General features: G+C 41.8%; 1 protein-coding gene and 1 long non-coding RNA gene across 14 annotated transcripts in view, besides 1 other annotated feature; one reads left to right on the forward strand and one right to left on the reverse strand.

The window, feature by feature from the left end:
• The window catches only part of LOC124905990 (uncharacterized), a 118,030-nt gene that overhangs the window by 51,591 nt on the left and 42,652 nt on the right, over window positions 1-23,787 (reverse strand). The window contains exon 2 of the long non-coding RNA XR_007086283.1: window positions 23,633-23,736. This is a non-coding gene — a long non-coding RNA (uncharacterized LOC124905990). The remainder of the gene's footprint in view (window positions 1-23,632; window positions 23,737-23,787) is intronic.
• VIT (vitrin) overlaps window positions 1-23,787 on the forward strand; it is a 118,088-nt gene that overhangs the window by 44,293 nt on the left and 50,008 nt on the right. For 12 of the 13 annotated variants that reach the window (NM_053276.4, NM_001177969.2, NM_001177970.2 and 9 more), the window contains 3 exons: window positions 2,101-2,257; window positions 13,922-14,055; window positions 17,970-18,047. In NM_053276.4, the coding sequence (NP_444506.2) occupies window positions 2,101-2,257; window positions 13,922-14,055; window positions 17,970-18,047 (369 nt within the window). Of the gene's footprint in view, window positions 1-2,100; window positions 2,258-13,921; window positions 14,056-17,969; window positions 21,612-23,787 lie in introns of those variants that run through there. The other variant, NM_001177972.3, reaches the window with a different exon arrangement.
• Window positions 12,875-13,527: an enhancer, noted in NCBI's record as "OCT4-NANOG-H3K27ac hESC enhancer chr2:36981017-36981669 (GRCh37/hg19 assembly coordinates)". NCBI's record gives its function as "activates a minimal SCP1, AML or CMV promoter by ChIP-STARR-seq in naive H9 embryonic stem cells {active_cell/tissue: H9 hESC(naive)}" and the evidence as "EXISTENCE:reporter gene assay evidence [ECO:0000049][PMID:30033119]".

The following is a 23,787-nucleotide window of genomic DNA, read 5'->3' on the forward strand; positions in this document are numbered from 1 at the left end:
CATCAAAATTTAATCTTAATGCACACAGCTTGTCACTTCCTATTTCAAAAAATTAAGAACAAAGAAGAAATCTTTCATTTTCTTTACCTCTAAGGGAGGAGATGCATTTGGGAGTGAGGAAGTGATCTGGGGAAAAGAGGAGAGTTGAACACACAGTTACATCCAGGAATCAAACAATTCACTAATTTGAAGAGAGACCACACTGGCATCTTCATCCCAAAATATGCCTTTAAAAAATACTCTGAGACTCATAATAGTAAATGCAGCCTTGAGTATCAGAGTTTAAAAGAATGAAAGGTAAAAAGAAAATAGCCGGCGAGGAGGCAACCTTTGATGGGGAGAATGAAACCACAAAACTGTTTGAAGCACAGCGCTCTACTTCTTAATGTAAACCACTAATTGCTTAAGCCTGTGATCAAACTCAACCCCTCGGTTCCCAGCAGAAGTTCCCTGTTGGCCCAGCCCTGAGTAGCAAAGATTGTCTGGGATGGGTGTTTAAGAAAAGAGCATAAAACTTCAGTTCTCTCTCCAGCCTGAATGAAATGCAATTCTCCTCATTCAGGTACACAAGGGTTAAAAAAGAATATGCTTTTTGGATACAGCTGGAAGCCATTAGCAACTCTGAGACCATCTCAGGAACCCAGTTAGAGGGTGGGTGGCCTGGCAGAGCTCCTGGATCCAAGAGTCTGTGAATTACAGACTCTTAGCATTGGGAGAGGTTTTATTCTACTCCTCACCCAATGTAGAAATCCTCTCTGTAACTGTTCAGTCTCCACTTGCATACTTCTACCAACACCCCACTCACTGCTTCCTGGGGCAGCTCAGTCCTTCACGGACAATTTCAGTTCCTAGAAAGTTCTTCTTGGCAAAATTTGCCTCTATAGAAAGTCTGTTCTTTAAGTTCTAGCTCACCCTCTGGCATCACAGCACACAACAATCCTACTTGTGAAGATAACTATCATTGCCTCCAATTCTTGCTTCCTCATGCCCAAATGACCCATTTCTACAAACCATCCCTTTCATTTGGTAATTTCCAGACCATTCCCAAGCCTGCTGCCTCTTTGGACTGTGCTCACGTTTTAAAGTTCCCTCTGAAGAATGGGGGCCAGAACTGAATATATTCCCAGATCAAAAGGCACCAGTAAAGTGTCCTCTAGGGGACCTTGGACCTTTTCCTTCTGGAGTTATTGAGGAAAAATCTTTGCAGGGAAATTGCAGTCCTACCCCTTCTGGGATACAGTCAATAGAGCATCTACTCCACCTCATCCCCAGGCAACCTTTCAGCTTCAGCAAACTTGCCTACTGGATGAAGTGAGGCTGGCAGTAGCAATAGCAAAGCCAAAACAGAGGGAGGGAAGAATGAATGAGCTTCCCCTGGATGCTCAGCCAGAGAGTTCCCAGCTTTCCATCAAGCGTTCAGGCAGATAAGAAAAGATCTCTCCCATTATGACTTCAGATCTAAGCCTAGAGGATCCTCTAGGACCAAGACAAAATATCATGTTTTTGACCTGTCTTCCCTGTCCAGAAGTCTTTCATTGCCTTCCACATCCTACATAGAACACAAGCATGCAAGCCTTCTTAATTTGGTCCATCCCTACCAATCTACCATCCTCCCACCAGGCCCCATAATGGAGTCCCTACCCACAAGCCAACCTTGTCCAGGTCATTCCTAACTCCAATGCTCCCACCGTATGCCCTTCCTGGAATACTTTTCCTTCCTTTTGTAAGGCTGGGTTAGCTACAGAGCATCTGAAAGACCAGTACTCTCCTGCCATTGACTCAAGATAACATTTCTGGCCACTGGAGGTGGGTGGTCTTTTCTCAGAGATCTCTGCTTTGTTAATTGGTTATTTCAATAAGCACAGGAATCAGCCTTTTGCTTTTGTTCTCAGCAGGTTAAAGGCAATGAATGGTCATTGTGGTTCTTTTGGTCTGGGAAATGTCTTAATTACATCTTTGCTTTCATTATAGGGAGGGGATGTAGAGTCGGCCCAGGCTCTGGCTTTTAGAGATTAAGTCAATAGTTGAGACCTAACAGTGTCACCCCACAGATAAACTAATAGCACAAGGTGTAATTTTGACCTCATTTTGTATTCCCAGCTGTGCCTCAGATCAACTGCGATGTCAAAGCCGGAAAGATCATCGATCCTGAGTTCATTGTGAAATGTCCAGCAGGATGCCAAGACCCCAAATACCATGTTTATGGCACTGACGTGTATGCATCCTACTCCAGTGTGTGTGGCGCTGCCGTACACAGGTGAGTGGTTCTGAGCTACTTAATAACTAACTAGAAATCAGGGTGTTGGCAGGGAGCCCCCATGCAAGGTTGCCATATTTAGCAAGCAAAAATATACAAATATTTTTTAGCTCAAAATCTTTATTTAATCTTCATTTAAAAAGTGCTTTTACTGGATATAGAAATCTAGCCAACAGTTGTTTTTTTCTTCTTTCATTCAGCACTTTATTATGCTTCATTGTCTCCTTGCATAGTTTCAGATGACAAGTCTGTATTCATTTTTTATCTTTGCTCCTCTATACATAATGTGTCATTTTCCTTTGGTTACTTTTAAGATTTTCTCTTTATCATTTGTTCTCAAAGATGTGGTTATAATGTGCTCTTGTGGAGTTTTCTTTGTTATCCCGATTGAGAGTCATAGAGCTTAAATAGTTCATCAAATTTGGGGATTTTAAGCAACTGTCTCCAAATATTCTTGTTTGCCCTGGCCCCAGCCTCTCCCTCTGAAACTTTATGTTACACTACTTCAAATTATCCCACAGGTCACTGAGACATTGCTCTTTTTTAATTTTTTTTTTCAACTCTTATTTTAGATTCCAGGAGTACATGTGCAGGTTTGTTACAAAGGCATATTACATGATGCTGGGGTTTGGAGTACAAATGAACCCATCACCCAGGAAGTGAGCATAGTATTAAATAGGTAGCTTTTCAGGCTTCACCTCCCTCCTTCCCCCTTCTTGTATTCCCCAGTATCTGTTGTTCCCATCTTTGCATCCATGAGTACTCCATACTTAGCTCCCACTTATAAGTGAGAACATGCAATATTTGGTGTTCTGTCTCTGCATTAGTTCACTTAGGATAATGGCCTCCAGCTGCATGCATGTTGCTGCAAAGGACAAAATTTGCTCTTTTTTATGGCTGCATAGTATTCCATGGTGTATATGTACCACATTTTCTTTATCTAATCCATCACTGATAGACACCTTCGTTGGTTCCATTGTCTTTGCTATTGTGAATAGTGCTGCAACGAACATACTGGTGCATGTGTCTTTTTGGTGGAAGGATTTATTTTCCTTTTGGTATATACCCAGCAATGGGTATATATAGTCAGCAATGGGATTGCTGGTCAAATGGTTGTTCATTAGTTCTTTGAGAAATCTCCAAACTGCTCTCCACATTGGCTGAACTAATTTACATTCCCACCAACAATGTATAAGCATTCCCTTTTCTCTGCAGCCCACCAACATCTATTATTTTTTGGCTTTTTAACAAAAGCCATTCTGACTGGTGTAAGATGGTATCTCATTGTGGTTTTGACTTGCATTTCTCTGATGATTAGTGATGATGAGTATTTTTTCATATGTTTGTTGGCTGCTTGTATGTTTTCTTTTGAGAAATGTCTGTTTGTGTCCTTTGCCCACTTTTTAACGTGGTTGTTTTTTGATTGTTTGATTAAGTCCCTTATAGATTCTGGATATTAGACCTTTGTTGGATGCATAGTTTGCAAATATTTTCTCTCTTTCTATAGGTTTTCTATTTACTCCACTGATAGGTTCTTTTGCTGTGCAGAGCTCTTTAGTTTAATTAGATCCTGCTCATCAATTTTTGTTTTTGTTGCAATTGCTTTTGAGGACTTAGACATAAATTCTTTGCCAAGACCAATGTCGAGAAGGGTATTTCCTAGGTTTTCTTCTAGGATTTTTATAGTTTGAAGTCTTACATGTAAGTCTTTAATCCATCTTGAGTTAATTTTTGTATATGTTGATAGGGAGGGATCCAGTTTCATTCTTTTGCATATGGATAGCCAGTTATCCCCAGCACTATTTATTGAATAGGGAATCCTTTCCCTATTGCTTATTTGTGTCAACTTTGTGGACAATCAGATAGTTGCAGGTGTATGGCTTTATTCCTGAGTTTTCTATTCTTTTCCGTCGTCTACATGTCCGGTTTTTGTACTGACACCATGTTGTTTTGATTGCTGTAGCCTTGTAGTATTAAGTCTGATAATGTGATACCTCCAGCTTTTTTCTTTTTGCTTAGAGTTTTTTTGGCTCTTCAGGCTCTTTTATTATTCCATATGAATTTTAGAATAGTTTTTTCTAATTCTGTGAAAAATTTCATTGGCAGTTTGATAAAAATAATGTTGAATCTGTACATTGCTTTGGGCAGTATGGTCATTTTAACAATATTGATTCTTCCACTCCATGAGCATGGAATATTTTTCCATTTGTTCATGTCATCTCTGACTTCTTCCAGGAGTGTTTTACAATTCTCCTTGTGGAGATCTTTCACCTCCTCAGTTAGATGTATTCCAAAGCATTTTCTTCTTCTTGTGGCTACTGTAAATGGGATTGTGTTCTGATTTGGCTCTCAGCTTGAACATTATATACAGAAATGCTACTGATTTTTATATATCGGTTTTGTATTCGGAAAATTTACTGAAATCATTTATCAGCTCAAGGAGCCTTTTGGTGGAGTCTTTAGGGTTTTCTAGGTATAGAGTCATATCAGTGAAGAGAGGGAGTTTGACTTCTTCCTTTCCTATTTAAATTCCTTTAATGTATTTCTCTTGCCTGGTTGCTTTGGCTAGGACTTCTAGTACTATGTGAAATAGGAGTGGTGAGAGTGAACATGCTTGTCTTGTTCCAGTTCTCAAGGGGAATGCTTCCAGCTTTTGCCCATTCAGTACGATGTTGGCTGTGGATTTGTCATAGATAGCTCTTATTATTTTGAGGTTATGTTCCTATAATATCTAGTCAGTTGAGAGTTTTTATCATGAAAGGATATTGGATCTTATCAAAAGCTTTTTCTGTGTCTATTGAGATGATCACATGGTTTTTGTTTTTAATTCTGTTTATATGGTAAATCATTTTTATTGATTTGCATAGGTTGAACCAACCTTGCATCCCAGGAATAAAGCCTACTTGATTGCGGTGAATTAGCTTTTTGATGTGCTGCTGGATTTGGTTTGCTAGCACTCTGTTGAGGATTTTTGCATCTATGTTCATCAGAGATATTGGTCTGTAGTTTTATTTTTTTCACATGTCTCAACTAGGTTTTGGTATCAGGATGATGTTGGCTTCTTAAAATGAGTTAGGGAGGATTCCTTCCTCCTTGATATTTTGGAATAGTTTCAGTAGTATTGGTACCAGCTCTTGGTACTTCTGGTAGAATTTGGCTGTGAATCTATCTGGTCCAGGGCTTTTTTTTGGTTAGTAGGTTTTTTATTATTAATTCAATTTCCAAACTTGTTAGCGGTCTGTTTAGGATTTTCTTTCTAGTTCAATCTTGGGAGGTTGTGTGTTTACAGGACTTTATGCATTTCCTGTAGATTTTCTAGCTTGTGTGCACAGAAGTCTTCAAAATAGTTTCTGAAGAACTTTTGTATTTCTGTGGGATTGGTTGCAATGTCATCTTTGTCATTTCAGATTGTGCATTTTTGGGTCTTCTTTCTTTTTTCCTTTGTTAATCTAGCTAGTGGTCTATCAATCTTGTTTATCCTTTCAAAAAACAAACTTTTGGTTTCATTGATGTTTTATATGGATTTTCACAATTCAGTTTCATTCAGTTCTGCTCTAATTTTAGTGATTTCTTTTCTCCCACTGGCTTTTATGTTAGTGTGTTCTTATTTTTATATTTCCTCTAAGGTGTGATATTAGATTGTTAATATGAGATATTTAGAACTTCTTGATATAGGCATTTTGTACTATAAAATTTCCACTCAAAACGCTTTCACTGCAACCCAGAGATTTTGGTATGTTGTGTCTCTATTTTCATTAATTTCAATAGTTTTTTATTTCTGCTTTAATTTCATTGTTTACCCAAAAGTCATTCAGGAGTAGGTTGTTTAATTTCCATATAATTGTGTGGCTTTGAGAGATCTTCTTGGTATTGATTTTTATTTTTATTGCACTGTGTTCCAAGAGTATGATTGGTGTGATTTCAAATTTTTTTAATTTATTGAGACTTGCTTTATAACTAAACATGTGGTCAATCATAGAGTATGTTCTATGTGCAGATGAGAAGAATGTGTATCTGTGGTTGTTTGGTGGAGTATTCTGTAGATGTCTATTAGAGCCAACTGATCAAATGTTGAGTGTAAGTCCAGAATTTCTTTGTCAGTTTTCTGTCTCAAGGATCCAACACTGTCAGTGGAGTGTTGAAGTCCCCTACTATTATCACATGGCTGTCTAAGCCTTTCCATGGGACTAGAAGTACTTGTTTTATGAATCTGGGTCCTCCAATATTGGGTCTGTATATATTTAGGATAGTTTTCTTGTTGAATTGAACTCTTTATCATTATGTAATACCCTTCTTTGTCTGTTTACTGTTGTTGGTTTAAAATCTGATATAAGAATAGTGACCTCTGTAGATCTTTCTTCATCCCTTTACTTTGAGCCTATGGGTGTTATTACGTGTGAGATGGTCTCTTGAAGACAGTAGATGGCTGGGTCTTGTTTCTTAATCCAACTTGCCACACTGTGCCTTTTAATTGGAGCATTTAGACCATTTACATTCAAGGTTAATATTGATATATGAGGTTTCGACCTGATCATAATGTTGTCAGCTGGTTGTTTTGTAGACTTGGTTGTGTAGTTGCTTTATAGGGTCTCTGGGCTATGAACTTAAGTGTGTTTTTGTGGTAGCAGGTATCGTTCTTTCATTTCCATGTTTAGAACTCCCTTAAGGCCCTGTTGTATTAGCATTTGCTTATCTGAAAAGTGTTTTATTTCTCCTTTGCTTATGAAGCTTAGCTTGGCAGAATACGAAATTTTTGTTGGGATTTCTTTTCTTTAAGGGTGCTGAGAATAGGCTCCCAATCTCTTCTGGCTTGTAAACTTTCTGCTGAGAAGTCCACTGTTAGCCTGATGGGGTTCCCTTTGTAGGTGGTCTGACCCTTTGATTACCTTTAAGACGTTTTTCTTTCACTTTGACCTTGGAGAATCAGATGACTATCTACCTTCAGAATGGTCATCTTGCATAGTATCTCACTCACAGAGATTTGCTGAATTTCTTGAATTTGTATGTTGACCTCTCCAGTGAGACTGAGGGAATTTTCATGAACTATATATCCTCAAATATCTTTTCTAAGTTGCTTACTCTCTCTCCTTCTCTCTCAGGAAGGCCAATGAGTCACAGCCTCCTTTGGTTGGTCACTTTACATAAGTCTGTATTTCTCAGAGGTTTTCTTCATTTCTTAAATTCTTTTTTCTTTATTTTTGTCTGACTGCGTTGATTCAAAGAACTGGTCTTCAAGCTTGGAGATTCTTTCCTCAGCTTGATCTACTCTGTTGTTAATGCTTCCAAATGTATTATGAAATTCCTGTAGTAAATTTTTCAATCCCAGAAGTTCAGTTTGGTTCTTTCTTAAAATGGCTATGTAGTCTTTCAAGTCTTGGATCATTTTATGGGCTTCCTTGGATTAGGTTTCAACTATCTTCTGAATCTTGTTGAGCTTCTTTGCCCCACAGTTTCTTCACTAACATCTTCGTCAGGTCCTGTTCAGGACTGAGCTAGTCCTGGCACTCAGCAACTTCGTGCAAGGTTGCTAGCTTCCTCCTTTTTTCACCTCTGTGTCTGCATTGCCTCTCTATTGACTTTCAGTGTTTTCTCTCAAAACGTCTGTTCAAAGTGTGATGGTTTACTTGATATTTGGTTTTTCTGTGAGAGAAGCACTTCCCAGCTGTGTAGTCAATCATCTTGACGCCCTCCCTGAAAAACGTACAAACTTAACTGAGCATCCCGTGTTTTCTCCGTCGACCTTACTGTGGAGGGATGACTTGGAAGTCATGCATGGTCCTGCATCTTTCATCATAGCACTCCATAAAAAAGGACAACTGACTTCTCTTTACACTTTGATGGGGAGAGGAAGAGAATTGTACTCTTTCATGTTCATGAAAAGGAATCCAAAGTTCTTGATGATATAAACTCATTTTTTCTACCTGTATGTGCTGAGCAAGGAAATTATGGAGATGTTACCAAGGAAGGCCCAAAAGTTTGGAGGAAGAAATATCACAGCTATGGTGATGGGTTGGAGAAAAATGGGGATGGGGAAAGTGGAGAAGGGTGACAGGTAATACCACTTGGTCAGCTGTTGGTCTAGGATGCAGGAAGGAAGACAGGAGGCATGGCATGCTTTGGATTAAGTCACTACCTAAATGCAGATACCGTAACAGAATCCTCATACCACTCTTGCTTAAGTTTATGGTCAAAACATAGATAAATGTATGCTTACTTAATATCTTTGGCATTAAGACTAGCCTGTATGTGCCAAGCACTTTACCTTCTTTATCTTATTTAATCCTGACAATAATTCCTCTGTGCAGTTTCTACTACTCTTATGCACATCTTAAAGGTGAAGGTAGGTTGAATCACTTTTCTAAAGCCATACTATTAAAAAGTATCATAGTGGGGACTCAAACCCAAGTCCAGCTGACTGCAGCACCTGTACTCCTAACTGCTGCCCAGGACAGCTTTGAGATGTGACTCGGGAGTCGATACTTGGCTACTGGATGCTGGATAAAATTTCTGAATTATTCAGATTTCTGGTATCTTTTTCCTTTTCCTTTTTTGCACATAAGTGGGTTGATTGTTCAGTTGTACCTCTGCAAGGGAGAGAAAATATATAAAATTCATTCTATGTCAAGGTGTCTAGTTAGTAGACTCTCTGAAATTTGAGGGAGCAGTAAGACAAAAACTATGCATAAAATAAAGTTTAAGAATTACTAGTAGATTTCATTGGCTATAGTAATCTTTTCCCCATTACTGCAGAGGGACGAGGAGTGAACTGGTTTTTCAAAGGGAATGGGATTACAAAAGCTCTATTAAGGATAAGTAGTAAAACATTAAAGAAAAACGACACGAAAAGCTGTTCCATAACTCCAGACTACGGAATAAAAATCACTGAATGCTATTTCATAACTTCAGACTATGAAATAAAAATATTTTGCTTTCACCCTGAAATCAATTTCATACTAAAAGGGAAAAGTTATACAAATCTACGCACACGTGTTTGCACACCCATACATGCCTCCCACACATACTTCCAGCCCACAGCACCATCAGCCCTCTCCAGTCTGTGTCTTTGTACACACTCCAGTGTCTGTGTAGAAAGTGACATCTGCTGCAAAGGGTGAGCCTGTCTTAAGGTTGCTTGTATTTTTTTCAATTTTGATCCTAGATGATTCGTTCTTGCTTCCTCTGGCACTTGCTGGGTCTCTCTTGCACTTTCACACTTCCGAGGCAGTATAGAGCCACAAGAGTAAATTTGACCTCACCAAAGATGACATTAAAATAACATGTAATCACTAGGTGCGGTGGCTCACACCTGTAATCCCAGCACTTTGGGAGGCCAAGATGGGCGTATCACGAGGTCAGGAATTCGAGACCAGCCTGGCCAACATGGTGAAACCCCGTCTCTACTAAAAATACAAAAATTAGCTGGGCATGGCGGTGCACACATGTAATCCCAGCTACTCGGGAGGCTGAGGCAGGAGAATCGCTTGAACCTGGGAGGCGGAGGTTGCGGTGAGCCAAGATCATACTATTGCACTCCAGCCTGGGTGACAGAACAAGACTCTGTCTCAAAAAAAAAAAGAAGAAAAAAAAATAACATGTAATCTTTTGCACTGTGATTCTCTCCTTCTAGCAGCATCTCATCACCCTCATGAGGTTATTGTTAGCATCCTCATTTGTTATATAAGAAACCGAGGTATCAAAAAGCTAATTAAATTCCTAGTTAGGGCTACGCGTGGTGGCTCATGCCCGTAATCCCAACACTTTGGGAGGCCAAGGCGGGAAGATCACCCGAGGTCAGGAGTTCAAGACCAGCCAGGCCAACGTGGCAAAACCCCGTCTCTACTAAATACAAAAAAATTTAGCTGGGTGTGGTGGCTCACGCTTGTAATCCCAACACTTTGGGAGGCCAAGGCGGGCAGATCACCTGAGGTCAGGAGTTCAAGACCAGCCTGGCCAACCTGGTGAAACCCCATCTCTACTAAAAATATGAAAATCAGCTGGGTGTGGTGGTGGGTGCCTATAATGCCAGCTACTCAGGAGGCTGAGGCACAAGAATCGCTTAAACCTGGAAGGCGGAGGTTGCAGTGAGCTGAGATCTCGCCACTGCACTCCAGCCTGGGTAACAGAGTGAGACCCTATCTCAGAATAAATAAATAAATTCCTAGTTAGATCCACATTGAGGATTAAAACTCATGCCCCCTTACTTCCAGCCCGGAGCCCAGGTGATATATTGACATAAGAACTGGGGAGTCCCAGCACTGCTTAGCGTACAAAGTGAGGACTCAAGCAAGGTGTAGACTTTACAGTAGTGAAAGTTGGGAAATGCTTTATGGTAGAAGGAGGCGCCCTGTGGAGAAAATAAGAAGGGCATTGACAGGACCAAGGCTCTATAATTCCAGCTTTTGGGTTAGAGTGTAGGAACTTGGTGGGAAAAATATAAATGAGGGGAGAAGGGCAGAAGAGAAGAGCTTGATTCGCTTGTTTTGCAAAAAACAAGATTTGCTGCTTGAGCAATTGAGTGCCACTGTGACTTCCCAGACTAGTGACTGATATAGTGGAAAATCTATTTGGAAGGAGGTACCACTATTCAAAGGGAAGATAAATAAAAGTCTTAAGGGGAAACAGATAGGAATTTTGGAAGCTATCTGTTTTGTTTTTCACAAACAGTGCAAATCTGTTTTCAGAAGGCAGGATTTAAGATGTAGAGAACATGAGCAGAAAGTATATTGGGGATCTATAACCATTGTCCTGCCAGAGTCCCAACAGTCAGAAGTGGGAGACTGGAGACAGTATACTTTGGTTTAGAAACTCAGATTAATTTGTACTAAAGGGTTTAATGTTCATATTCTATATCATGATCAGAGGTCTTAGTACAAGAAATTCCCTTAGTTTCTTCAAACCAAAGGGATAATGAACATATTTGAGGCATCATATTTTGGCTCAGGCTTATCCTAAACTAACTCCTATGTTTAAAGCATGGCCAAGTGCAGGGGAGAGGAGAGATTTCCCTGAGAAGGTGCAATGAAAAGACCAGCTCCATGCAGGACACTCTTCACGCTGATCTCTGACCAGTGCCCACCCTCAGAACAGCAGCCATTCGACACCTGGCCCTAGCAGTGAACTATCCCTTCTCTCTGAGCCAAGGGACTGACCCTCAGTTATCCCAGTCCCCTGGCACTGCAATCAGGGAGGAGGTGAACATCAAGGCCATGCTCAGCACCATGCAGGGCACCTGAGGAATGCAAGGAAGTGGAACTGGGTTTGCTTTTCCAGAGAATATCTATGAAGTGCCTACATCTGAGTGATACAAATGATGAGGTGGTATTTACATAAATTCTCCAAATTACCATGGCTCTGAGCCCCCATCTGCCTCGTAAGTGGAACCACAGCTTTTTTCAGACTCTCTCCCTCCTCCTCCAGTGTCTCCTACATTGGTCAAGCCTCCTGTGCATCCTGCTTCTTTGCCAGCTCACCCAATCCTGAAAGCATAACAATTGGCTCTCACAGAGTGTGAATTAGTTCAACCATTGTGGAAAACAGTGTGGCAATCCTTCAAAGACATAGAAGCAGAAATACCATTTGACCCAGCAATCCCATTACTGGGTACATACCCAAAGGAATACAAATCATTCTATTATAAAGATACATGCATACATATGTTCATTGCAGCACTATTCACAATAGCAAAAACATGGAATCAACCTAAATGCCCATCGATGATAGACTGGATAGAGAAAATATGGTACATATACACCATGGAATACTATGCAGCCATAAAAGGAATGAGATCATGTCCTTGGCAGGGACATGGATTAAATTGGAAACCATTATCCTCAGCAAACTAACACAAGAACAGAAAATCAAATACCGCATGTTCTCACTTATACGTGGGAGCTGCTGATGAGAACACACGGAAACATGAGTTGGGGAGCAACACACACTGGGGCCTGTCAGAGTTGGGGGGTGGGGGAGGGAGAGCATCAGGAAGAATAACTAATGGATGCTGGGCCGAATACCCAGGTGATGGGATGATCTGTGCAGCAAAAACACCATGGCACGTGCTTACTTATGTAACAAACCTGCACATCTGGCACATGTACCCCTGAACTTAAAATAAAAGTTGAAGAAAAAAAAATTGGCTCTCAAAAGCAGGTGTCCGCGGCACCTTCTCATGTGGAAACATAAAATGCTATCCTTTCTATAAGAAATATTTCCATTTTGTTGAGAGACAAAATAAACTCCAGAAATTTTTAGGAAGTAGTACAAGACGGAACAAAATCAGAGTTTAAGTTGTGAGAACAAGATTCTAAGGAGGGAAGGAGGTAGCAAAGTCATGTCAGAATCTCTGTGGGGAAGGAGAAATTGGGAACTCACTGCCCTTTGTCAGCAGCACAGGCCTGGTCAGGCAGAGGGAATCAGGTCTTCTGGGGTGAAACAGCAGCATCGTCAGAGCCATGGGAGTGGGAATGGCTGAAACCAGCCTGCCTGCCATCGGGAGATGTGAGGGAACTCAATCACAGGGAGCCCGGAGAGAAGAGAGCGAGTGAGGAGGAGTTGGCTTAGGGAGGTGCCTGTGCTTTTGAACTCTTGAGAGGTAGATGGGAGCAAGAGGGACAAACTGAGGACTTAAGGTGAGTTCAACCTGGGTTTAAATCCCTCTTGCAATTTACTAGTTAGAAAATCCCAGGTGAGTCCTGCAACCTCACACAGCCTGTTTCTATGGAATGAATGGCAATAACAGCATTCCTTCCACTCCACAACTCAGGTATGCTGGGAGAACCCAGTGGGACACCACACGTTGAGAACAGTTTTAAAGCAATTAAGTGCTTTACATGTTGAGTAGTATTAGCACTTTCTTTCCTTCTATGCCACTGGGAGGTTGAGGGTTGAACGTTGTTGACTCATCAGGAAGGTGGGAGGGCAGGAAATGGCAACTTTCACTCCTGGAGGGAAGGAAGGGTGTTGATGGGGAGAAATCTACATCTCCCGGTGCCAGAAATTAAGGATACCCAAAGGAGCCATGCATGTTCGACTCTGGGGCAAGAAATGACAACGTAAAAGTGCAATCTAGCAACCAGATGGAGACCCTGCCTAACATCAAAGGAAAGACATTCATATGTCAGTCACCGTCCCATCAGGATCTAAAACCTGGCAAAATCCCAGAAATTTAAAGAAACAATTTTCCATCTTTGGGGGATGCTTTTTTAATGAGTTTAACTTAGCTGCACAGCTTTCCTCCCTGACCCAAAAAAAAAGGAGTGTTTACTTTTCATCATTTTATATCACCCTTTGGAATAACTAAATTCATTCTGTGCCATCACAAAACCAAATTGGAAACTGTCAAGAAAGAGGCTTTACTTAAAAGAGCTAGTGGGAATGAGAAAACCAAGGAAAAGAAATCTGAGGCATGGTGGCAAAAAGAAATCCCTGACAGAACAATCAGCTCCTATAAGAAGAAAGAGAAGGACATTGACCCTGGGAGCTCAGATGCTGGGTCTGCTGGTGGAGGCACCATTCTTGTGGGTTGGGCTTCATGTCAAGGTAAACTTTGCTTAACCTTGCTGCTTTCCTATGTGTAAATAAAGATGGCGACTGGTTTTCTAGCCTGTTGATCACGTCAAAAAATATTTCTGTTCTTTCCTGAAAAATTATTTTTTCTCTTCATAGTGGTGTGCTTGATAATTCAGGAGGGAAAATACTTGTTCGGAAGGTTGCTGGACAGTCTGGTTACAAAGGGAGTTATTCCAACGGTGTCCAATCGTTATCCCTACCACGATGGAGAGAATCCTTTATCGTCTTAGGTATGACCACACACTGGAGAAACGCTGCTAAACCTACCACAAGATGAAATGTGCTCTTTTCATTGTGCTGTTGGTTTTTGTTTATGGCCCACCTCATTTCATAAAAATCTGAAGCATTCGTTTTTCTGATAATTAGAATCACGACACAATAAATTAGAATTACATGATAAATCACCACAAAGTCATATCTGAAAATACTAAAAGGCTCCACATGCTTGTTTTAATTACACTGCAGTTATCTGTAAGTCCAATCAGATTTTTAATTACATTAATTACATTTAATAGCTTGGGTTTTTAAACCAGTCCTTTAGTTATGCCAAATGTGCCTCATGTCTAGAACCTTATTCCTTGAGATTTCTGTTAAGTGGATAGATAGGTATTGTCACAGCAAATCCATTGTGTCATACACAATGGCCATATCAAGAGGCATATAATGGCAGTCTGTTCCATTGTTGGTGATGCTAAGTTTGATTCACTGGATATTTTACCATATCTGTCCATGGCAAAGATACCCCGTAATTAATAAGCATCTGTAGGGTAATGCTTTAACATGCTCGAGTAGCTTGTTCCCCAACAAATTTCACCCAGTGATTTTAACATCCATTGCCGATCCTCACTGTAACAAGTATTACATTAGTAATTGCAAAATTATAATTTTTTCTAATTCTGTCATTCCTTCCACATTTGTTAGCTAGTGTTCTTATATAAAGAAGAGTTGCTTTCCCCCTCTGCACCTATTATTTTTAAGTGGACTATGGATTCATAGATTGTTTTTAAAAATATAATGTTATCATCTATTATCTTTATTTTTCTTTTTGGTGCTCATATTTTCTGAGATTGCCCAGTGGGAGCCCTTCAAGCTTTTGACATGTTCACGGTAGTGCTTGAGGACAACACAGTATTTTTTTTTTTTTTTTTTTGAGACGGAGTTTCAATCTTGTTGCCCAGGTTGGAGCGTAATGACACGATCTCGGCTCACCGCAACCTCTGCCTCCTGGGTTCAAGCGATTTTCCTGCCTCAGCCTCCCGAGTAGCTGGGATTACAGGCATGTGCCACCATGCCCGGCTAATTTTTGTATTTTTAGTGCAGACGGGGTTTCTCCGTGTTTGTCAGGCTGGTCTCGAGCTCCTGACCTCAGGTGATCCGCCCACCTCGGCCTCCCAAAGTGCTGGGATTACAAGCATGAGCCACCACGCCCAGCCTAACAGTGTTCTATACTCACCTTATACGTACCCTACTCTAAACCTGAATCTCCCATTTTCTCTAAGGCGGTTCCATGGGATTTTAAACTAGATTGTAGCCAACTTCCTGGCCTCCCAACAAAATTAGGTGCCTTGGGACTGTCCTGAGAAGGAGTCACTTATAGAAAACTAGCTGAACAGGGAAGAGAGAAATGTTTCATAAAACAGTAGGTCTTCCAATCTGGGTGGTTTTCTAGCACTGCTAGGCACCCCATGCCTCAAGCCCCTACCGTCCTCCACTGATTAGAGTCGTTAGCAGGACAACAAACAGACCTTTTACTATTCTTCTCAACTTGAGCAATCCATGTTTCCTTTTGCCTGCCAAATTCTACACGCCCACAGTTCAAATTAGACTGGTTTCTTTGTCAGATAGCGGAAGGGTATCAACCGCAGTACTGTGGGGTTTTTGCCTTGTAACAAAAAATTCACAACGGGAGCCATATAAAAATGCTAATGTCTCGAATACAAATATGTTGAGACAGAGAGAAATATAATCTCCGCATAGGTGTTCACCAAGTAGATCCTGGCTGAATAAGAGCATTTCAGCCTTAAGTGCTCAGTCTGCAATCCAAGAATCTCAACAGAGGTTTAAAAGAAAAATTAATTCTATGGCAGTAGAGATGTTTTGGGCTTTTTAAGTGAAAATCAATCTGCTGATATTATTCCCTATAAATCTCGACTTCCATCTCCCCTCATTCGACCTAGTGACAGTTAACCGAAAATACTTTTTGCCAATGATAATAAACATTTGTGCTTCTGCAATGGCTTGGAAGCCTCTCTCGAATGGATGAGTTAGGAGCTCACTGCAGCATAAGCATTGATAACTGACTGGCAGCCAAGGAATGCTTCCCATTATCCAGAGGTTCATGGCCAGCAAGTTTAACTGCATGATGTCCGAATCCTCTTCTGAAGGCTCAGGTGCCACCATGATCTTTCTCTAGGTTTTTATTTCTAATTTTCATATGCCCCTGAGCTCCTTAACTAATTCACTTTGGTGAGCTAAGAGGGGGAGCAAAAGAGGAGATGTACGTTTACGGCCCGCATGATCTTTACACAGTCCAGGGATATGAAATGTCAGTGAGGGACCCCCTAATACTTCCCTTTTATCCTTTGATCCACATTTCAGGGAACTGAGCTCATGCTCCTTTTCCTTCTGAATAGAAACAGAAAAAAAAATCACGTTTTAGATCAATAAATAGAGAAGATGTCTCTTCCTCGCTTTCTGCAGATAAAGTGTGGCCCACAGCCATGGGGCCCTCTCTGGGCCTAAAATAACCTCAGTCATTGTCATTTGGAGCAGGCCTTGACATTGGTGGAGGACTTGGAAATGCCAGTCCTGTTCCCCAGGTGATTCTAATGAGGTAAAGTAATGCAAGTAAGCCCAAACACGTGGCATTTATAGGTAACACCAGAAGAAATTTTTGCATCTCTATGGAGATACATAGTTCCAAAACATTTTAACATTTTTTCCATTAGATGTCTACAATCTTGTGTAGTAAGCAGGGCCGTGTCATTATTCCTGTTTTGTGAATGAAAACACAAGAGCCTCAAAGGTTGGGGCAGTTAATTAAAGGTAAAACAGAAACAGAAACCTAGATTGTCTTACTCCTAATCCTAGGTTCTTACCTAGACCCTGCTATTCTTTCTGCTTCATGACCCTACGATTCCTGTGCCAGCAGGATGGTTGGCAAGATAGTGCCCTAGATCCTCCTCCACCCACCTAGGTTCTCTGTGCCACACTGCTTACCATCTTCGCATCCTGTAAAAGTATTCCCTCCAGATGGGAGAAGAAATGCTTTCATTACTAGATGTAATATTGGCTAACAGGTAGTACCCCTACCAAGGTATTTTAATTTTAACAGAGATCTAAGCTTTAAGATATTCCCCCACTGAATAAATACTTCTTGAGCAACTGCTTCACGCCAGGAACAAATTGCTTTGAGCTCTGAAAATTCAACCGTTACCAAGTCAGAAAAATGACTTGCCTTCAGGGGGCTTACTGTATTCCAGTGGCATTCTCACTTTACTTGTGGAACAAAGACCATATGGTGGAATTTCAGGCGTCCTTTTATGGTCAGAAGAAGACTTTGGCAATTTTTTTATGCTTATTTTTTTCCCTAATAGACGTTACCATTCCTCTTCCTTGCCTGCTAGCTACCGTGTCTCCCCCTGGGTGAGCAACACATGGTTATTTTCAAGGTTGACCTATATTTACCTACTTTTAGGTTTTACTACTGCTATGAAATTCAAATGAATCCCACACGGTCTGTGAAAGTGAGCCTATGACCGGAGCACTCCATCATCTCAAAGGAGAGCATGTGGAGGGCTTTCCCGTTCACCTACTGATACAATTAAACATTCGAAGCCACACAGATAAAAACCTTCACTTCCATGTCACATCTTCACGGGTGAAAGAAGGATTGCTGATGTTAAGCAACTCTGAATCATGGAGAGTTGGTTGCTTCCATTCTAATAGTAATAAAACACAAGCTATACAGGAAAACAAAATGCCACATGACATTCTCATTGTAATCAACTATTCAGCATGAGGGAGACTGATTTTATTGAACTGAAGAGAGATAAATTGAAAGGACAGAATCAACTTAGTACAGAACCATCTAAAACCTCTAGCTCTAGAAATAAATCTCGTTTTTTTTTTCTCTTTTTTGCAGAAAGTAAACCCAAAAAGGGTGTAACCTACCCATCAGCTCTTACATACTCATCATCGAAAAGTCCAGCTGCCCAAGCAGGCAAGTGCTCACGTGTGATTGAATCTAAACCTTCTGAGTCCATGAACACGCGACGTGTTTTGGGAGATAGCGGAGAAATTAACATCTTAACCGGTCAAGCTCCACTGGCTCTGGCAATATTTTAACAGATGCCAGGAACATGGGCACAGAAATCAATGAGATCAGATGGCTGGGGCTGAAGAATGAAAGCTTTATTTTTTGTTTTTGCAATTCCGAGATTGTGTCTCTATATTTGTGTCATTTTCATTCAGATTGACTGTTGCCTTGAGTTTTAATGTATTGTTGCTTTAGAAAATGACATGACATTCTGTCCGGAAATGTTTCCTGGCAGCTAAAAGGAAAAAGCTGTATCTACTTAGATATGAAATGAAGAGAAGCAAAGAGAACGAGGTGGTTTATGTGATAACAGCAAGCTGCTCATCCAAATAACCCAGGCCAAAAATACACTGTCTACAAGGTTGTGCCAACTCAGCTTTCATGTGAACCACAAAAGGGAGTATCGGTAGACCTCAGGCCAAGAAAATACCTTTTTCCAGGTTTCTGTGTTAAATCAAGAACTGTACTATGCATTATTGTATCTCCAGAGGTGTTTTGATTTCCCACACAAAGAGAAACTGTGAGTCGCTTTATAACGGGATTTTGCATTGCTTCCAGAAACTTGATAGGCTAGCTAATACATTATGAGCCTGATAGTTCAGGTTCTGTTCATGTACTTAAGGTGAACACGGTTTAAGAATAGCAGTAGAACTTAGCATTTATTGAGCATTTGCTGTATGCCAGGCATCATTCCAAGAATTTTACCTGATCATTGTGTTTAATCACCGTAGACCACCATCGGCCTATACTATTACTCTGGCTGAGGAAAATGAAGCACAGAGAAGTTAAGTAAATTAACTTCCATCAAACAGAAACCCCTCTCTAAACCACCATTCTATATTTTCTTTCTCTTTTTTTTTTTTCTTTTTTTGAGACGGAGTTTCACTCTGTTGCCAGGCTGGAGTGCAGTGGTGCGATCTCAGCTCCCTACAACCTCTGCCTCCCAGGTTCAAGCGATTCTCCTGCCTCAGCCTCCCGAGTAGCTGTGACTACAGGCACCTGCCACCACGCCCGGCTAATAGTTGTATTTTTAGTAGAGACGGGGTTTCACCATGTTGGCCAGGATGGTCTCGATCTCTTGACCTCATGATCCTCCCGCCTCGGCCTTCCAAAATGCTAGGATTACAGGCATGAGCCACTGTTCCTGGCCCATTCTAGATTTTCTTATGCTAATAGTACGTATATAGATCGCTGATTTCCTGATTTGAGGAGCCTTAGCATACAAATAAGGAATTTTTTTTGTCTTTTCTCTTAATTACTGCTCCACCTCTATCTTTAATTACTTTTTAATGGATCCAGTGGTCTAGTCCTGTTTGTTTAGTTTCAAGGATAGAGCTGTTCCCCACCTCCACCCGTGAACTGGCAGTGGGTCTGGTGCCTCGTGGGCCATTTCTGAGATATCGCTTGTCCTCTTTTGACCTGGGCACAGAGACGAAGAATGGGTGACAGGTCTCCTTAAGTGGCTGGCATCTCTGTTGTTTCATCTGGCCCTGTGGCTCTGCAGAGCCAGAGGAAAGACTGATTCCTGGGTAGGTGATGTGTGTAGATATCGAAGGCAAGGAGACAGTGTTTAGTTTCATCCTGGCACCCTCTTGTTGGGCCAGAAATCTGTGCCCCTCACTCCTTTCTCCAAGGTAGATACGGATGCCTGGTTCCAGCAGCCCCCTGGGGCAGCCCCTTCCCACAGAGCCATGGGAACAGCCAGGCTTCTCTTTGGCACCCTCAGGTCTGAGAACTGGGATGGGGTGAGGTCACCTCCCTCCTCGCATTTTGCTGCATGAGCCCTGCTGGCATGAGCCACTCCAGCTGCACCCCTCCCCCTCTCAGAGATCCCTAGGGCAGAAACAGTCCCCAGGTTCACATAAAGCCCCCAACTTCAGGGACCACATGTCAAGCACCCCCTATTTTTACCATGAGTGGAAGAGCACTTCTAGACTCCCAGAATACACCCCCAAAACTCTGCGAGCTCTGTTGCTGTATTGCACACGTGTGATGGATCTGCAGAAAGATTGGTTGGAAATAAGATGCCCACCTGCCCTCCTGGCAGGTCCCCACAATCTTGACGAATGACTCTCTTAAAGCACCTTCATTTGGCTTGGGTACGACAAAGTGTGAAGGAAGGGAGAAAATATCTTCTGACTGTGAACTCAGCACCCTCTAAAAGGTGGCTTCTGACCCCTCCTGTTTTTCGGGTCCTTTCCTTCTGTCCACTGGCCTGGGATGGGGGTGTCGGGGGTGTTGTGCAGGTTCTACTGGAATGGCCTCACCCGTGGGAAGTTCAGTGGCATCTCTCCTGTTTTGGAAAGGGGTACTTGTGGCCGGGCGCAGTGGCTCACACCTGTAATCCCAGCACTTTGGGAGGCCGAGGCAGGCGGATCGCGAGGTCAGGAGATGGAGACCATCCTGGCTAACATGGTGAAACTCCGTCTCTACTAAAAATACGAAAAATTAGCTGGGCGTGGTGACACGTGCCTGTAGTCCCAGCTACTCGGGAGGCTGAGGCAGGAGAATCACTTGAACCCGGGAGGTGGAGGTTGCAGTGAGCCAAGATCACGGCACTGCACTCCAGCCTGGGTGACAGAACGAGACTCCATCTAAAAAAAAAAGAAAAAAGAAAGGAGTACTTGTGCCCTTCTGGCTTCAGCTTTGGGCCGTATCTGGACAGCAGGAAGGGCCACATAACCTTCTGTGACTGTAGTCGTCTGTCCAGTACTTTCTCTGTGCCACACACCTGCACTACAGTAACCCCGAGGTAGAGTGCCAGTATCTTCCCTTTTCAGATAAGGAAGCTGACCTTGAGAGAGGTTTAGTAACTCACCCAAGGCCATAGTTCTAAGCAGCCCAAAAAGTATGCAAACTCGGTATCACCTTAAAGCAGGGAAAGTTGCAGGGAAAAGAGTGTAGGGCAGAGAAACTATAGCCAAATGATAACTCGGATAATAAAAGTCTACTTGGTTTGTACGTTCTCCGCAGCAGAGACAATTTCTAAAACTATCTATTTACCCCAAGCACCATTCACCCCCAGCAAGCACTTGTTCCAGATGCCTGAGTCATTGACATCCACAAGGAGTGTGGATAGCCAAGGGTGCTTTTCGTGAAATTTATAAACTAGCAAGAGCCAAGCATTGCTGATGTCACTTGCCCCTTTACCAAACCGTTTAAACTTTTGATGACAGTATCACTAGGCATTACTATCATCTCCTTGTTACTAGATGATCTATGATGGTCAGAGTCGGAAAAATTATTTACTCCTTCATTTTATTCATTCATTCAATGTTTACATTGAGTGAGCATCTCCTACGTGCAAGACCCTGAGCTAAACTACCAGCATTCCAACATAAAAGGGATTCTTGGGGATAGAAGAGCCTCTCTCTGTAAAGTCTTAGTCCCCAAGTCCTAAGTCCTTAGTCTTACTTAGGAGTAAGTTTTCACGAATTCAAATAAAAAATTTCAATGAGTACAATTAAAGGAGTGGTCCCCTTGGTCTTCCTTAAACCATAGAATTCCTTTAGTCATTGGGGAAGCAGAAGAGATGAAGGCTGAGCAGCTGTTCAGGTCTCCGCATGACCCTAAAAAATGTGTCCCGTCTCTCTGACAATATGAATTAACAGGCTAATCAGGCTAGGATGACCCCCAAAAGCATGACAACCTTCTACCATGGGAAATTATCCCCCTCAAAAAATAGAAGGCACTTTGATTTGCCCTGTGCGGCTCACACTGAGAACAGGCGTTCCCTGAGGTTTAAATACTGTTCCCCCACCACCGCGCCCCAACTGCCCTGGCATTTAGCAACCATTAGGCAGGCAGCTGCTTTTTGGCTAGAGCCTTGAGCTAAATAAAAACAGGGAAGTGTTGCTTTGTAGAAGTTTTTTTAAAAAAAACTAGGAAGGCACATTCCTAGTATCACAGCAAGAAAAGGGAAAGTAAATCTTTGTTAGAGGCTACTGAGCTAGCATGGGAAAAACCTCTTCTGCCTTCCCTGGCTGTCTGCTGAGTCCCCCGCTGTGGTTCTCAAATGAGAATTCCACGGCCCACCCTGGGTCCAGTGAGTCAGAATCTCCACGACCAGGGCCCTGGAACCTGCATTTTAACACCTCCAGTGTGGTTCTAACGATGAGCCAGGTGTGGGGAGTGGTGTGGCACCACCTGCTATGTTTGAGAAGGTGGCTGCCTGGAGCTCTTCCGACCACACCCAAATGAGGAATATGTGTAGAGTTTAAGGGAAGTTTTGAAATGCTTTCCCATAAAAATCTTTGAAAAAAGATCAAAACTTTATGTAGCTGAGATTGCAGGAAGAAACTATTTTACTAGTTTTTTTTCAAATGGCTCAAAAAGAACTTGGTTCCATGAAGAATTCACCTTGGATCAAATCAAGGGTATTATGTTCAGTGAGGAATTGGGAGCAATTGGGATAGGAGGAGTAATTTTTCTCTATCTTCCCTTTTTTTTTTTTTTTTTTTTTTTGAGATGAAGTTTTGCTCTTGTTGCCCAGACTGGAGTGCAATGGCTCGATCTCGGCTCTCCACAACCTCCGCCTCCCGGGTTCAAGCCATTCTCCTGCCTCAGCCTCTGGAGTAACTAGGATTACAGGGATGTGCCACCACCTCTGGCTAATTTTGTATTTTTAGTAGAGACAGAGTTTCTCCATGTTGGTCAGGCTGGTCTCAAACTCCTGACCTCAAGTGATCCACCCATCTCGGCCCCCGCAAGTGCTAGGATTACAGGCGTCTATCTTCCCTCTTAAAGACAGTTGTAATCCATGAAGGAGAGCAGGCAAAAACAACAGCCCACGGAAGCCCGTGGAAGCCCATGGCTGTTAGTTGAATTTATGATACACTTGAAAGCATCTGCATTATGAGCAAGTGATACAAAGACTGCCCTCAGGATCTTCAGCCTTTCTTTAGCAAATCAATTTTAGCAAAGGCAGACTGGGATGGTCAGCAGCCTTGGGATTAGCCAATGGTGTGACAAAAAGATAATTCCGATTTTCAATATATAATAAGTTTTAGGTGGCAAAAAGTGTTCACTATTTGCAAGTAGAAGTTTTATTTTTAGTACATTGCAGTTTCATGAATCATTTACAAGTAAAATAGATTGTCAGTTTATGTATGTTTCTTTCCAAATTATTAATTACATCCTATTTCATAAAATATACAAGTGGATTTGTTAAATGGCTTTTCCCTAGATGAAGTAGGTCAAACCCGGGCCTGCATCTCCGTAAGGAGGCAATAATGCCTGGTAGCATTACCAGAGGGTAAGACGGAGAAGTACTTTGGAGAAATTAGAAACTTCCCTAGTACTTGTTATGAAAGCTCAAACTCTTTAAAATAATGGAAATGTCATAAATCAGGCAGATTCACTTTTGCCTGAGGATGGCTTGAAGGAGGCTGCTGTGAGCTCTTTAGTGATTTGTCTGACACAGGCTACAGGCAAATTTAAAGGTGACCAACTTAGCAAGAAACAAGGCAATTGAAAGATCGGTTTCCTACCTTGACCAGCTAATGCCTGCAAGAGCAGACCGAATGGCTGAATTCCAACCCGATTCCAGGAATACTGTTTGCTGACCTGCTGTCTTAAGTCAGTGCTGTGATTCCTGCAAAAGACGGCAGAGTCAGGGTGGGGAAATGAGCAGGTGCTGCTGTTG

The sequence above is a fragment of the Homo sapiens genome, chromosome 2, assembly GCF_000001405.40.
Source record: "Homo sapiens chromosome 2, GRCh38.p14 Primary Assembly".
Lineage (NCBI taxonomy): Eukaryota > Metazoa > Chordata > Mammalia > Primates > Hominidae > Homo > Homo sapiens.